Genomic DNA, 16,726 nt, shown 5'->3' on the forward strand with positions numbered 1-16,726 from the left:
TTTTGATAGAAAATAGTACGTTTAGTGGCCAGGCACAATGTCTCATGCCTATAATCCCAGCACTTTGGGAGGCTGAGGCAGGAGGATCACCTAGCCAACATGGTAAAACTGCATCTCTACTAAAAATACAAAAATTAGCCAGGCATGGTGACACATGCTTGTAATACCAGCTACTCAGGAAGCTGAGGCAGGAGAATCACTTGAACCCGGGAGGCAGAGGTTGCAGTGAGCCGAGATCACACCACTGCACTCCAGCCTGGGGAACAGAGTGAGACTCTCTCAAAAAAAAAAAAAGAAAGAAAGAAAAGGGAAAGAGTATGTTTAGTGCATTTTAAAAATGTATTTTTTCCAAAACTGTGTGAAATATGATTTGGGACACTGAAAAATTTCAAATGCATTGCTAGTTTGATTCCCACACCTTAAGTTTTAAAGCTATGATAAATTTTCATTTTTTTTTTTTTTTTTGAGATGGAGTCTCACTCTGTCACCCGGGCTGGAATGCAATGGCGCAATCTCGGCTCACTGCGACCTCCGCCTCCCGGGTTCAAGTGATTCTCCTGCCTCAGCCTCCCAAGTAGCTGGGATTACAGGTTCACACCACCACGCCCAGCTAATTTTTTGTATTTTTAGTAGAGATGGGGTTTCACTATGTTGGCCAGACTGATCTCGAACTCCTGACCTCGTGATCTGCCCTCCTCGGCCTCCCAAAGTGCTGGGATTACAGGCGTGAGCTACCGCACCCAGCCTAAATTTTCTTTTAAAAATTTACTTCCAAGATAAAAATAAGCCTATCATGGTTGCGTTTGAACTATCCAGAGTTAACACGCATCCTATGATCTCAGTTTACCTTTAAATTAACATAAGTGAGAAAATTCATTATTCCAGTTCAAATTAGAGAATGTCTTTTTTTTCCTTCCAGCCAAGAGACATGCAATTTAATGCCAGGGCCTAGTTTTAAGAATTAGAATTCTTCTATTTTAAAGATGGAAAAATTGTAAACTGAGTAGGTAATGTTTCTCTAGAGATGTATATAGAAGCATTTGAGATTTCTCCTACTAGGAATCTGTAGATGGCTACTTTTTACCTCAATAAACCACTGTTCCTCGGTTTCCTCTTTCATAAGACAGCACCTTCCTGATAGTAAGAGCATAGAAGAATGCCTTGCACCAGACACTCAATAGTGTAACCTATTACAAATTAATTCACTTTAAAGCTTCCCATTGCTTTTTCCTTCCAGGATAACTTTTATTGAAATATAAATACATGCAGACATGCACGTAAGTATACGGTTTGATGAATTTTCACAAACTGAACACACCCTTGAGGCCTCTGCCCAGATTAAGGGTCAGAACATCCCCCACACTTAAGAGCTCCTTTTATACTTGCACCCCACACCCTACCGTCAGCTAACAGTAATGTTAATCTAACAACATTTGCTTTGCCATTTGTAAAACATTTATTGTGGTAAAATATATCTAAAACTTAGAATCTTTTTTTTTTTTTAGGCGGAGTTGCTCTCTTGCCAGGCTGGAGTACCATGGCATGATCTTGGCTCACTGCGACCTCCGCCTCCTGGGTTCAAGTGATTCTCCTGCCTCAGTCTCCCAAGTAGCTGGGACTACAGGCGTGCACCACCACGCCCAGCTAATTTTTGTATTTTTAGTAGAGACGGGGTTTCACCATGTTGGCCAGGATGGTCTCCATCTCAACCTAGTGATCCACCCGCCTTGGCCTCTCTGAGTGCTGGGATTACAGGCAGGAGCCACCACGCCCAGCCCATCTTAACCATTTTTAAGTGTACAGTTCAGTAGCGTACTAAGTGCAATCCCATTGTTGTACAACCACCACCAGCATCCGTCTCCAAAACTCTTTTCATCTCACATAACTGAGACTCAATACCCACTCAGCAATATCTCCCTATTCCTCTCTCCCTCTAGCTCCTGGCAACCACCATTTTACTTTGTCTTTATGAATCTTACCACTCTGGATTCTTTAATATAAATGGAATTGAAGTGTTCGTCCTACTTTTGCCAATTTTTGTTCTCTACCTAAGTAGAATCATACAGCTATGTTTTACCCTGTATCTAGCTTCTTTCCCTCAACATGTCTGTGGGATTTATCAGTTCATTTAGAGTTCTACTTTGTTTCTCCTCGTTAAATAGTACTCTCCTATGTGAGTATGCCACAATGTATTCTACTGGTGATGGGCATTTGGGTAGTTTTCAATTTGGGGTTTTTACATGTAGTGCTGCTATATCTTTTGGTAAAATATGTGGCTAGAAATGAAATTGATAGAACATAGGGTATGCATGTATTCAGCTTTAGTAGATATTCCTGTTGCTTTTTATTAATACATTCAAGTCACCAAAGAGAAGTGATCTTTCATCTTACATGAAGGAAAGCAATTTACATATTTGAATTCACATGATGCTGTGGACTCTGCCCAGAAGAGTAAAACTGCCCACCCACTCAACTCCTCCCACCGCAAACCCCACATGCCAGCTCTATTGAGCTTTCTCTGCTTAGCTGAACAGCCGTCTCCTACTCTTTCCTCCCTAGGCCATTGTGGGTGCTGCTTCACTCAGCCTGCACCCTCTTTGTACCTGGTTTGATGGCTGTTTGTCTCTCAGACCTCAGCCCCTTTGAGAACTAGTACCAAAGCACAAAGTATGCTTCCTCAAAATGCATGTCATCACGAGTCCATTCCTGTTGGAATGTAAGTCTGAAGATGAGGCTCTGGCATTCTCCTCTTGCCCAGGTCTTGCCACTTACTACCTCTGTTTCTTTATCTTTTAGGAGTTGTCTGCACATGCAGATTAAACTTATTTTGAGCCTCCATTCTGGGTTCCCATTGACATAAAACATGATGCTTAGAATATACACAAATCCAAACCACTTAGATCGGTATCAGCAACCAGGTTCAATCCACTTTCCAATAGTTGTACATAACACCATTTTACTGCTCTAGATGATGTCAAGTCTAAGGACTCACTAGCATTTAATAACACCTAATTCAAACAGAACAAAAAACTGCCCAGTAGCACCTTCCAAAGACTAAGTAGAATGACAGAAAGCACTGAACTCTGAGTTGGTCTTCCATGTTGGACAAAAAACAATGCTCTGAATCTACATGGTTTCATTACAGAATTGGAAGAGTAACGTGGACTGATGCCATAAAAGTAATTCCAGTTAACAGTTCCATTTACACTAAAAACAGTAAACTAGATCACCAAGAAATAATCCAAGTAGAAATTGCCATGGCTTAAATGAAATAAAAGTGAGGTAACTCATTCAGATCTTTTTCTCCATTAAATGTAAAGTTATATCATGTTCATGGGTGGGAAGATATAGACATTCAGACATCTTCCATGAGAAAAACAACTTAGTGTATGGTACACATTCTTTCAGAATCCTAAGTATACATTAAAACTATAGGAATTAAGTTAATATGGACATGAAAATGAACAAAGATTAGTGGATTAGAATAGAATGTTAGAAAAAACTTATTAGGCTTAAGGAAATTTAACATGTGATTTAAAAAATAGTGCCCAAATGAAGGTGGATGAAAGTTCAAATAGTCAATAAAAGGTTAGAACAGCGGGCTATTAAAAAAAAAAAAAGACCTGTATCAGATAAGAATGTATTTGACTGCAAGTAACCAAAAAACCAAACGAACAGTGGCCTAATTAGAGATACAATTTCTCATAAATTAGAAGTCTCTGCTAGTATTGGCCCACCTGCTCAATGATATTCTAAGGTGAGTTGACAGTCTACAGCCCACAGGCCAATCATTACACTTTTGTACAACTCAAAAATGAAGAATGGTCTTTACCTATTTTAAATGGTTGGAAAAAAGAATATTTTGTGACAAGTTACATTAAGTTTAAATATTAGGGCCCGTGAATAAAGTTTTACTGGAATACAAAGATGCTCATTTACATTTCCTCAATGGCCATTTCTATGCTTCAACACCAGAGTTGAGTAGACAGAGGTTGTATGGCCTACAAAGCCCAAGATATTTACTATCTGTCCCTTTACAGAAAAAGCTTGCCAATCCCTGCCCTAAGGAACCCGTACTCTTTCCAGCTTTGCCATCTTTGTTACATTGCCCCCAGTAATGTAGTACATTATTACTGTAAACTAGGCCCTCAACTCCAAAGTAGAAGCCTTCTTGGAAACCCTGCAGACTCCCACTTACATTTGACTGGCCAGAGATTGGCACTGCCAGGCCTAGACACAAGTGGCCTGGGCGCCTCCAGCTCTCCCTACCCAGAAGTATTAATGTATAAATAAGACCATGAACACAAGAACTACAAGAGGCAGAGTGTGTATGATCTTTTTATGGGGATGACCAAATATGAAACCTAGAACCAATAAAGTCAGAGATGGACTTATCCATATAATACCCCCATGTAGAAAAGAAACTTAAATATATTTGTCACATTTTGTTATATTAAGAGTTTCTATAAGACAAAAAATGCTTGATAAGCTCAAAGAATTCAACTGGCTAATTTGATATGTTCAAATTTTCATTTTTAAAGATGCAACTTAACAATGAAATGTATCCCTTATCAAAAGGACTTGCCCTGTGTGAGGAAAATGGTCTCACAGTTGAGGGAAATGTAAACTGGCATAGTTTTTGGGGAGACCAAATTGCATCTGACATTTTCTTAGCAATTCTACCTAAATATAAGAATCTATATTCAAAGATGATCACAGCACTGTAATAATGGGTAACTTTAAAATGCCCTCTTTGAATGTCCATCAATAAGGGAATCAGTTAAATGGGTATTGAACTGTTTAAATACTATATACAAGCTAATTTCCATGGGGGAAAAAAAAGTGTTAGGATTTTGAAATGTCTCCACAACACCTTGTTAAGGAGCTATAGGGTCGTTTTAAGGCTATGTTCATATACAAAGAAAGCAGTCTGGCAGAGCACATGTCAAACCTGACAGTCACTACCTTTGTTTAGGATTGGGGCTGGAAAGTCAGCTTCTCATATTGCATACATTGCTATTAAAGTTAAAAGCACAAACCACTTTCATAAGTTTGTCAGAACTTCCATTGCAGAGATATAGAGAAAGGAATAAAAAAAGACAGTAGTTCATCCTTATTTCTTGAAATCCGCCACACAGCCAGGACGGAGCTTGGGAAAGTCTAGAGCCAGGGATGGCTCTCTCCCTCCTCTATGCTCAGCCCTCACCCTGACCATCATTCTACAGGGATACTCTGCAAGGTGCAGGCTAATGTGAACTATGAATGTCCACTGAGAAAGTCACATTTTAAAATTGTAAATTTAACTGATATACTCCTCCTCCCAATAGGACAGATAACATGTTACTAAGGTTCTGAGTGTCATCTAACTTTGTTTCTCTTCTGCCTCAAGAAATCTAACAAGTAGTTTTGGTATTAATATCTGCGTTGGAGTACTTCCTTATATCTTACTTTGGACGTAAGTTTTAGAACCTAAAACTAGGAGTCATTGAGTGAGTGCTATAATGACCGAATATTTGTTTCAAAGTGCATTGCGTTGCTTCTTTCCTGTGATCCTTGACGATAGGATTTGAAACCCAACATCTATCTACTCATTCTGATTCAGAGGCTCAAGGGCATTAAGTAATAGATATCCAACATAAGAGACCCACAACAATGGTCCTATAGTTTTATTAAAGATAGTGAAAAAGCTAATATCAAGTTCCTTAAATGATAGTGAGACAAACTTTCCATGAGGCCAGAGGCCCCCTCTGTCAGTCAAGCAACATCCTCTACTCTCAGGCTCCCATCTGACACCAGGTTGTGAAGGCCTTGGGGCCCTTTACCCATGACTAGCCCATGACAGAATGCTTTCTTCCACAGAGTCTTCACTCCCTCTAAAGAGGCCAGGAGTGTTAGGTGAGGAGGAATGTACATGCTGAGGTCAGTTCTGGACCAGCCCCAGGCCAATGGTACAGAGAAGGATGATAGCAGCTGAATGGCTCAGAAAGAGTCCAAAGCCAGCTTAACACTGGTAACAATTTTACCCCTACCCCAAGAGCTGACATGCGTCCAATTCCAGTTCCTCTTTCCCCACCTAAATGATCCCAGAGGTGGCACTAAGCCCAGCCCACTCACAATCTAGGACAGCGATAGTCAGACATCTCAATGGGCCCAGCTTCCCAGTAGTAGGAGTGACTGAGAACAGCACTAGGGGGCCCCTGCCACATCAAAGAGAAGCATCTATGAGGGGTTACTGCCATAATGCCAACCTTCTTGCTGTGCTTTGAGAAACAAACCAAATCCCACCTCCCTTCAAAGAGCTCTACTTGCTATGAAAAGTAATCCCACCCCCTACTAAAGTCCTGAGACTTAGGTGGCCCTGAGGCCAGTAGGAGGCTTTGGGGTATCTCAAGAGCAGCCACACTTCTCCACCAAGGAAGTGTTCACATAGTGCACACTCATCTTGTGTTCGTCATCCTGGACCATCAGGGAGAAGAGTCTGACCATGGTGGGACGGCAGGTCTGGAAGAGCCAGGGACAGGTAGGTACTGCCCTCTGCAGAAACAAATGGCAGAATGGTGAGTGCCTCATAGCCACAGCCTCATATCTAAGGGCATCAGTAGACTTGTCAGGGATACATGGGAAGGGAGAAGGAGGGCCTGGGGAGAAGCTGCTGGATCAGGGCTGTTTCAGAACAATCTTTAGGAAGCTGATGTTTCTTATGAATAAAGATAAGGGATAAGGTCACAGGGCGGGGAAGATGCTACACACTGCATCAGTGCTAGATTACATAATTACCAACTTCAATGGCTTCCTTGACTCAAAAGGAGCCAGGCCTAGAGAGTTGAGCACTTAGTGCTATCCCAATATGACCCCAGAAGAGAAAGAACGAGGCTCCATGTCTTACCTTATAGCACTCAAAGCTGGAATGACGGAGCTCACTGTTGAGGGCCGGGCAGGTCCCCTGACAGTAAGAGAAGCTGAGAGTCTTGGGTGCAACAATACACTCGCCCCAGGCAGCTCTGTGAAGGTTCACCTTGCGATCCTGCAGATGGCAGAGCTTCTCTGCTGGAAAGATATCCTGGCCATGGCCTATCTCCCGGCGATTCTGGCCCGGGATCCCCAGGATCAGCTGCTCCACATTAGAGATTAAGGGTTTCTGGACATAAGGCAGGTGAAACAGAGGTGGCTGTGTGTGGGACAAGGTCACGAACAGCAACACTACGTCTTGTTTCCTTTCGGTACTGGAACATTCATTCAGGCTGGCATCAGCGACATCAGTGGCTGGAATCTTTGTCTCTGCCAAGAGGGTGGGCACCACCTCCATCCAATACGTGAGTAAACAGTAGATATCCAATAATGACCCTCCCTCTGACTGGTAGGATGAAAAGATAATGGGGAAAGATCCCAGAAGGAATCTTTGGAGGCCCCTTCTATGGTCCTCGAACTCTAGAACAAGCTCAGTGGCATGGGGGACAATGGGCACCCAAGCCCATAACTTTATCAAGGAAACCCCCAAGAAGGAAACTGCCTCAAAACAGAGAAGCCAGTAGCTGTGTAGGAACTATGAGCCTGTAGGGAAAGAAGAGTGGAAGCTCCAGGAGGCCACTATCGTGGAAAGTCCCACCTCCCTTTCAGCTTCTTACTCCCCACTACCCAGCCGGGCAGGACAGGACAAAGACTTAGCAGTCTCAGCTTGTCAAAGTCAGTGCTTAGTCCACAGCAGCCAGGGATGGACTGAGGTTCCTCAACTCCCATCACCCTACCCCTGGAATTAAGTCAGAATGATTGCCCTAGTACTGAAAATCATTCCAGTCACCATGACCTAAGACAAGCCACTTGCCCTGTTTATCTCCCAAAACACTATAGTTGCCCAGCCCAGCAGCTGTGTACTTCACACTTTAGAGCATCCTTACACACAGAACTTTAGGGCATCAGCCATAAAGCTTAAAGACATCCTACATACCAAGCCTGCAGAGCTGAAACCAGGAAGCAGATTCCATTTCTGCTAGACCAGCTGAAGAATATTCTGTACCCAACTCCTTGCTCTACTCACAAGAGCCCTTAATATCTGTTGTCATTTACACCCCATTCCCTGACCAGCCCCACAAAATGCTGCCAGGCAGCTTCTGGATCACTCCTTCCCTGGCAAAGACCAGCGCTCCAGCTACTTACTTTTGAATATGAGGGTAAAACCATGTTGCCTGGCAGAAAAAAATCTCATTTATGTGGGAAGGCAGCATCGGGTTGGGACAGTCAAACGTCTCTACTGAGCTCAAACACATGCACCAAAGACCCAGAGCCAAGAGCCCAGGAATGAGCCAGGAGCTGCCACTTCTCCCACAGCCACCCTCCAACATACCTGCTCTCAGAAGCGGGGCTTCCCCTTCGCTGTCTTTAAATATCCACGTGCCCAGCTGTAGGCCCTATTCTAACCCCCCACAGCTTGTAGCTGATCACGCATTCAAGAGAAATTAAATTCAAGTGAGAGAAACTCTCACTCCCAGAACAACTTCAATACCAACTCCTGTTTACAGAATGGAGGTGCAAGAAGTGATAATACAGATTGTGTTTCTCAAATGCAACCTCGAAAACACAAGTACATAATTAGTGAATAGATGCACTTATGTGGAAGACACGCTCTGACAGACTGTGTTGGTCCAAATGCTGGAAACAAGGACAAGTATGCACAGTTTGCAAGTTACAAACACTCCATTTAACTCACCTTTGTGTTCTTAGACTTTAGCTAACACCAGAAATCACCTAGAGCATTTGTTAAGACATAGATTGCTAGGCCCCATTCCCAGAGTTTCTGATTCAGTAGGTCTTAAATGAGGTTCAAGAATTTACCTCTCTAGTAAGTTGCCAGGTGATGCTGATAATGCTGGTTCTGAGACCGCTTTGAAAATCACTCATCCACATTACTTATGCCATAACTAGTACATAGAAGATGCCCAATAAGTGTATTTTGATTCATTGATAATACACTATACTTAGTGTGTTTGTGGTTCTGAAATTTTTTTAAACAGAAACAAACAAACAAAAAAAACTCCTTCAGGTTAAAAGGATGAAATTCACTAAATCTGAAAATACCAGATTCTTATGTGGGAAGTACCCAACATAAGAAAAGTAGCATTTGGGATTCATGCTCCCAACATTCTTTTGTTTTCTTTTCAGAGAGTACAAATCAAGATCTTCAAAAAATAACATATACGAGAAGCCAATATAGTCTTCTTCATGTTTCCTAACACTTAACAAATTATTATGAGCATATTATATATAAATATAGTGTAGGAATAATCTGTCCATTAAACATACAGAGTAAGGCATCCTTCATTAACAAATTAACCTGCATTTCACAATATTTGCTTTTCTTAAAAGACCAAATCACATTGACACGTACAATAAAAGTTTAGTTTCTCCACTTTGAGAGGCTGAGGCGGGCAGATCACAAGGTCAGCAGTTCAAGAGCAGCCTGACCAACATGGCGAAACCCCGTCTCTACTAAAAACACAAAAATTAGCCAGGCGTGGTAGTGTGCACCTGTAATCCCTGCTACTCAGGAGGCTGAAACAGGGGAATCACTTGAGCCAGGGAGGCAGAGGTTGCAGTGAGCCAAGATTGCGCCACTGCACTCCAGCCTAGACAACAGAGTGAGACTCCATCTCAAAAAAAAAAAGTTTAGTTTCTCTAAACTTGAGGTTTATTTATTCTCATTAAGAAATTCAATGTCCCAAATTATGTAAATAAGTACACCATAAGTAATGGTAATCAGAACAGTCCATCTTTAGAAAGCTTGCTGTGTAAATTCTTTAGTTAATGTTAGTGAAACAAGCTTATGAGGTAGGTGTGATTATTCTTGTTTTGTGGATGGGGAAACTGAGGAAAGAGTAAGTAATGACCTGCCCACGGCAGGGCTGAGTCAGTTGTCCGTGCAGAATAGATTCTATGTTAAGACAATTCCTTTGGGTTTTTGTTCCTTAAATACGAAGAAATACAGAACAAAAGCAAAGGATAAAATAATTCAATTTAGGAAAACAAGCTTTGGTAAAAGGAAAAGGAATAGGAATAGGTTTTTTTTTTTAAGTTGAGAACAGAATTCTTTAAAAGCTAATAATTTGTGTGCCTAAGGTTCCCACTAATTATCCCTACCTCGTCTGTGTTATTTTTCTAATCAATGAGAGGTTGATGATAACTTTTTTTTGAGCTTATATTCTTTGCTTTTTAATGAGCAGGTTCTTATGGAACCCCAATTAAATATGTAGTGAGCTTATGGAATTTCTAGCAAATGTGGCTTTCCTTTTTGTTTAGATAAATTAATCTCCAAATTATCAGCAAGAGGAAAGGGGGCAGTTCCCATCTAATCCCCAGGCCTTCCCTAAACGGCTTCAAGTGTGAATGTGTTAAGTAAAATCCTTCATGAATTTGTAAATTGCTTTAAATAAAACCTCAATAATAATCTTGGATGAGAAGCTTGTTTTACTAATTTATAGCTAAGCAGCTGTTGTTTTGTTAGCATCTTCAGCTTCATTTACACAAGAAAATCTGAAAATGAATCATGCAGACAGGAGAGACCTGATTGCACTCTACAGTAAACGTTTTTGTATGCTCGTCTCATAGGATGTTGAAAAGTAAACACCAAAAAAGACCATTCATCAACCATCACACTGGAGAAAATGTTGGCCAATGATATGTTCAGCTTATATTTCAATAGATTTTATATTTCATGTGTCACTGCCAAGCTACAATTGAGTGTGTATGATGAAAATGCATGCTAGCAAAATATGAGCCAACTTCTCTGAGGCCCTGCAAAACCTATCAAGTGCCTCATCAGGGAAGAAGGAAGCATTGACTGCTCAAGTCATTGACTCTAGTATGCCTGTATCCTCACCATTCAGCTCTGTCAATTTAGATGTGGTAAGAATCAGAAGCAGATGAAAAGTATATAGTTGATAATATGCTCAGTGTCTTCTTAGACTTGGGATAATATACATAAAGGTGTCTCATAAACTATAAATTGCAAGTCCTTTCTGTGGGTAGGGTATCACATATTTATTTAATGCAATAATCTTTAAGTTTTTTGTTGAGTGCCCTAACAGTAAAAAAATAAAATAAAATAAACATTTTACCCCAATGTCTACATATGGGTTTATTCATTAATAAACTACATATGTATACTAATATACATATATATTAATGAGATGCACATATATATACATATAAGATACATAAAAATGGCGATTGAAAAAGGATATGAAAATTAAATAGGAGGGGCCGGGCGTGGTGGCTCACACCTGTAATCCCAGCACTTGGGAGGCAGAGGCAGGCAGATCACGAGGTCAGGAGATCGAGACCATCCTGGCTAACATGGTGAAACCCCATCTCTATTAAAAATACAAAAAATTAGCGGGGCATGGTGGTGGGCACCTGTAGTCCCAGCTACTTGGGAGGCTGAGGCAGGAGAATGGCGTGAATCCAGGAAGCTGAGCTTGCAGTGAGCCGAGATCCAGCCACTGCACTCCAGCCTGGGCAACAGAACGAGATTCCGTCACAAAAAAAAAAAAAAAAAAAAAGAAAAAGAAAAGGAAAACTAAGTAGGAATTCATTTTCTAGTATTTCTACTATTTTTTTCCTGCTCCCAGCAGATCATCTTAGGAGACTACTGCTTTAATGGATAAGTTCATTTTGAAAAGTAGGGGTGATAATTATAATTAACATTTTTTAAATTATGCTTTAAGTTCTAGGGTACATGTGCACAACCTGCAGGTTTGTTACATATGTATACATGTGCCATGTTGGTGTGCTGCACCCATTAACTCATCATTTACATTAGGTATATCTCCTAATGCTATCCCTTCCCCCTTCCCACACCCCTCGACAGGGGTGTGTGTGATGTTCCCCACCCTGTGTCCAAGTGTTCTCATTGTTCAATTCCCCCCTATGAGTGAGAACATGCAGTGTTTGGTTTTCTGTCCTTGCAATAGTTTGCTCAGAATGATGGTTTCCAGCTTCATCCATGTCCCTACAAAGGACATGAACTCATCCTTTTTAATGGCTGCATAGTATTCCATGGTGTATATGTGCCACCTTTTCTTAATCCAGTCTATCATTGATGGACATTTGGGTTGGTTCCAAGTCTTTGCTATTGTGAATAGTGCCTCAATAAACATACGTGTGAATGTGTCTTTATAGCAGCATGATTTATAATCCTTTGGGTATATGCCCAGTAATGGGATGGCTGGGTCAAATGGTATTGCTAATTCTAGATCCTTGAGGAATTGCCACACTTTCTTCCATAATGGTTGAACTCGTTTACAGTCCCACCAACAGTGTAAAAGTGTTCCTATTTCTCCACATCCTCTCCAGCCCCTGTTGTTTCCTGACTTTTTAATGATCGCCATTCTAAGTGGTGTGAGATGGTATCTCATTGTGGTTTCAATTTGCATTTCTCTGATGGCCAGTGATGATGAGCATTTTTTCATGTGTCTGTTGGCTGCATAAATGTCTTCTTTTGAGAAGTGTCTGTTCATATCCTTTGCTCACTTTTCGATGGTGTTGTTTGATTTTTTTCTTGTAAATTTGTTTAAGTTCTTTGTAGATTCTGGATATTAGCTCTTTGTCAGATGGGTAGATTGTAAAAATTTTCTCCCATTCCGTAGGTTGCCAGTTCACTCTGATGGTATTTTCTTTCGCTGTGCAGAAGCTCTTTAGTTTAATTAGATCCCATTTGTCAATTTTGGCTTTGTTGCTATTGCTTTTGGTGTTTTAGTCATGAAGTCCTTGCCCATGCCTATGGCCTGAATGGTATTGCCTAGGTTTTCCTCTAGGGTTTTTATGGTTTTAGGTCTAACATTTAAGTCTTTAATCCATCTTGAATTAAGTTTCGTATAAGGTGTAAGGAAGGGATCCAGTTTCAGCTTTCTACCTATGGCTAGCCAGTTTTCCCAGCACCATTCATTAAATAGGGAATCCTTTCCCCATTTCTTGTTTTTGTCAGGTTTGTCAAAGATCAGATGGTTGTAGATGTGTGGTATTATTTCAGAGGGCTCTATTCTGTTCCATTGGTCCATATCTCTGTTGTGGTACCAGTATCATGCTGTTTTGGTTACTATAGCCTTGTAGTATAGTTTGAAGTCAGGTAGCGTGATGCCTTCAGCTTTGTTCTTTTGGCTTAGGATTGACTTGGCAATGCGGGCTCTTTTTTGGTTCCATATGAAGTTTAAAGTAGTTTTTTCCAATTCTGTGAAGAAAGTCATTGGTAGCTTGATGGGGATGGCATTGAATCTACAAATTACCTTGGGCAGTATGGCCATTTTCACGATATCGATTCTTCCTATCCATGAGCATGGAATGTTCTTCCATTTGTTTGTGTCCTCTTTTATTTCTTTGAGCAGTGATTTGTCGTTCTCCTTGAAGAGGTCCTTCACATCCCTTGTAAGTTGGATTCCTAGGTATTTTGTTCTCTTTGAAGCAATTGTGAATGGGAGTTCACTCATGAGTTGGCTCTCTGTTTGTCTGTTATTGGTGTATAAGAATGCTTGTGATTTTTGCACATTGATTTTGTATCCTGAGACTTTGCTGAAGTTGCTTATCAGCTTAAGGAGATTTTGGGCTGAGACAATGGGGTTTTCTAAGTATACAATCATGTCATCTGCAAACAGGGACAATTTGACTTCCTCTTTTCCTAATTGAATACCTTTTATTTCTTTTTCTTGCCTGATTGCCCTGGCCAGAACTTCCAACACTATATTGAATAGGAGTGGTGAGAGAGGGCATCCCTGTCTTGTGCCAGTTTTCAAAGGGAATGCTTCCAGTTTTTGTCCATTCAGTATGATATTGGCTGTGGGTCTGTCATAAATAGCTCTTATTATTTTGAGATACGTCCCATCAATACCTAGTTTATTGAGAGTTTTTAACATGAAGGGCTGTTGAATTTTGTCAAAGGCCTTTTCTGCATCTATTGAGATAATCATGTGGTTTTTGTCTTTGGTTCTGTTTATATGATGAATTATGTTTACTGATTTGCGTATGTTGAACCAGCCTTGCATCCCAGGGATGAAGCCATCTTGATCATAGTGGATAAGCTTTTTGATGTGCTGCTGGATTCGGTTTGCCAGTATTTTATTGAGGATTTTTGCATTGTTGTTCATCAGGGATATTGGTCTAAAATTCTCTTTTTTTGTTGTGTCTCTGCCAGGCTTTGGTATCAGGATGATGTTGGCCTCATAAAATGAATTAGTGAGGATTCCCTCTTTTTCTATTGATTGGAATAGTTTCAGAAGGAATGGTACCAGCTCCTTTTTGTACCTCTGGTAGAATTGGGCTGTGAATCCGTCTGGTCCTGGACTTTTTTTGGTTGGTAGGCTATTAATTATTGCCTCAAATTCAGAGCCTCTTATTGGTCTATTCAGGGATTCAACTTCTTCCTGGTTTAGTCTTGGGAGGGTGTATGTGTCCAGGAATTTATCGATTTCTTCCAGATTTTCTAGTTTATTTGCTTAGAGGTGTTTATAGTATTCTCTGATGGTAGTATGTATTTCTGTGGGATCGGTGGTGATATCCCCTTCATCATTTTTTATTGCAGCTATTTGATTCTTCTCTCTTTTCTTCTTTATTAGTCTTGCTAGTGGTCTGTCAATTTTGTTGATCTTTTCAAAAAACCAGCTCCTGGATTCATTGATTTTTTGAAGGGCTTTTTGTGTCTCTATCTCCTTCAGTTCTTCTCTGATCTTAGTTATTTCTTGCCTTCTGCTAGCTTTTGAATGTGTTTGCTCTTGCTTCTCTAGTTCTTTCAATTGTGATGTTTGGGTGTCCATTTTAGATCTTTCCTGCTTTCTCTTGTGGGCATTTAGTGCTATAAATTTCCCTCTACACACCGCTTTAAATGTGTCCCAGAGATTCTGGTATGTTGTGTCTTTGTTCTCATTGGTTTCAAAGAACATCTTTATTTCTGCCTTCATTTCGTTATGTACCCAGTAGTCATTCAGGAGCAGATTGTTCAGTTTCCATGTAGTTGTGTAGTTTTGAGTAAGTTTCTTAATCCTGAGTTCTAGTTTGATTGCACTGTGGTCTGAGAGACAGTTTGTTATAATTTCTGTTCTTTTACATTTGCTGAGGAGTGCTTTACTTCCAACTATGTGGTCAATTTTGGAATAAGTGTGGTGTGGTGCTGAGAAGAATGTATATTCTGTTGATTTGGGGTGGAGAGTTCTGTAGATGTCTATTAGGTCCACTTGGTGCAGAGCTGAGTTCAATTCCTGGATGTCTTTGTTAACTTTCTGTCTCATGGGTCTGTCTAATGTTGACAGTGGGGTGTTAAAATCTCCCATTATTATTGTGTGGGAGTCTAAGTCTCTTTGTAGTTCTCTAAGGACTTGCTTTATGAATCTGGGTGCTCCTGTATTGGGTGCATATATATTTAGGATAGTTAGCTCTTCTTGTTAAGTTGATCCCTTTACCATTATGTAATGGCCTCCTCTGTCTCTTTTGATCTTTGTTGGTTTAAAGTCTGTTTTATCAGAGACTAGGATTGCTACCCCTGCTTTTTTTTTTTTTTTTTTTTTTTGGTTTTCCATTTGCTTGGTAGATCTTCCTCCATCCCTTTATTTTGAGTCTATGTGTGTCTCTGCACGTGAGATGGGTCTCCTGAATACAGCACACTGATGGGTCTTGACTCTTTATCCAATTTGCCAGTCTGTGTCTTTTAATTGGAGCATTTGGCCCATTTACATTTAAGGTTAATATTGTTATGTGTGAATTTGATCCTGTCATGATGTTAGCTGGTTGTTTTGCTCGTTAGTTTCTTCCTAGCATTGAAGGTCTTTACAATTTGGCATGTTTTTGCAGTGGCTGGTACTGGTTGTTCCTTTCCATGTTTAGTGCTTCCTTCAGGAGCTCTTGTAAGGCAGGCCTGGTGGTGACAAAATCTCTCAGCATTTGTTTGTCTGTAAAGGATTTTATTGCTCCTTCACTTATGAAGCTTAGTTTGGCTGGATATGAAATTCTGGGTTGAAAATTCTTTTCTTTAAGAATGTTGAATATTGGCCCCTACTCTCTTCTGGCTTGTAGAGTTTCTGCTGAGAGATCTGATGTTAGTCTGATGGGCTTCCCTTTTTGGGTAACCCAACCTTTCTTTCTGGCTGCCCTTAACATTTTTTCCTTCATTTCAACTTTGGTGAATCTGACAATTATGTGTCTTGGAGTTGCTCTTCTCGAGGAGTATCTTTGTGGCATTCTCTGTGTTTCCTGAATTTGAATGTTGGCCTGCCTCACTAGGTTGGGGAAGTTCTCTGCGATAATATCCTGAAGAGTGTTTTCCAACTTGTTTGCATTCTCCCCGTCACTTTCAGGTATGCCAATCAGACGTAGATTTGGTCTTTTCACATAGTCCCGTATTTCTTGGAGACTTTGTTCATTTCTTTTTACTCTTTTTTCTCTAAACTTCTCTTCTCACTTCATTTCATTCATTTGATCTTCAATCACTGATACCCTTTCTTCCACTTGATCAAATCAGCTACTGAAGCTTGTACATACGTCACGTAGTTCTTGTGCCGTGGTTTTCAGCTCCATCAGGTCCTTTAAGGACTTCTCTCCACTGTTTATTCTAGCTAGCCATTTGTCTAATCATTTTTCAAGGTTTTTAGCTTCTTTGTGATGGGTTTGAACCTCTTCCTTTAGCTCAGAGAAGTTTCTTATTACCGATCGTCTGAAGCCTTCTTCTCTTAACTCGTCAAAGTCATTCTCTGTC

General features: G+C 40.5%; 1 long non-coding RNA gene across 1 annotated transcript; it reads right to left on the reverse strand.

The window, feature by feature from the left end:
* Positions 1-1,776: 1,776 nt before the first annotated feature.
* LOC105378979 (growth/differentiation factor 3) lies at positions 1,777-8,257 on the reverse strand. The gene is made up of 3 exons (NR_172721.1): positions 8,155-8,257; positions 6,887-7,138; positions 1,777-6,534 (listed from the first exon to the last, which is right to left on the reverse strand). It is a non-coding gene; the product is annotated as a growth/differentiation factor 3 (long non-coding RNA).
* Between the last annotated feature and the right edge of the window lie 8,469 nt (positions 8,258-16,726).

This window comes from Homo sapiens, chromosome 5 (assembly GCF_000001405.40).
Source record: "Homo sapiens chromosome 5, GRCh38.p14 Primary Assembly".
In the NCBI taxonomy this organism is placed as follows: Eukaryota; Metazoa; Chordata; class Mammalia; order Primates; family Hominidae; genus Homo; species Homo sapiens.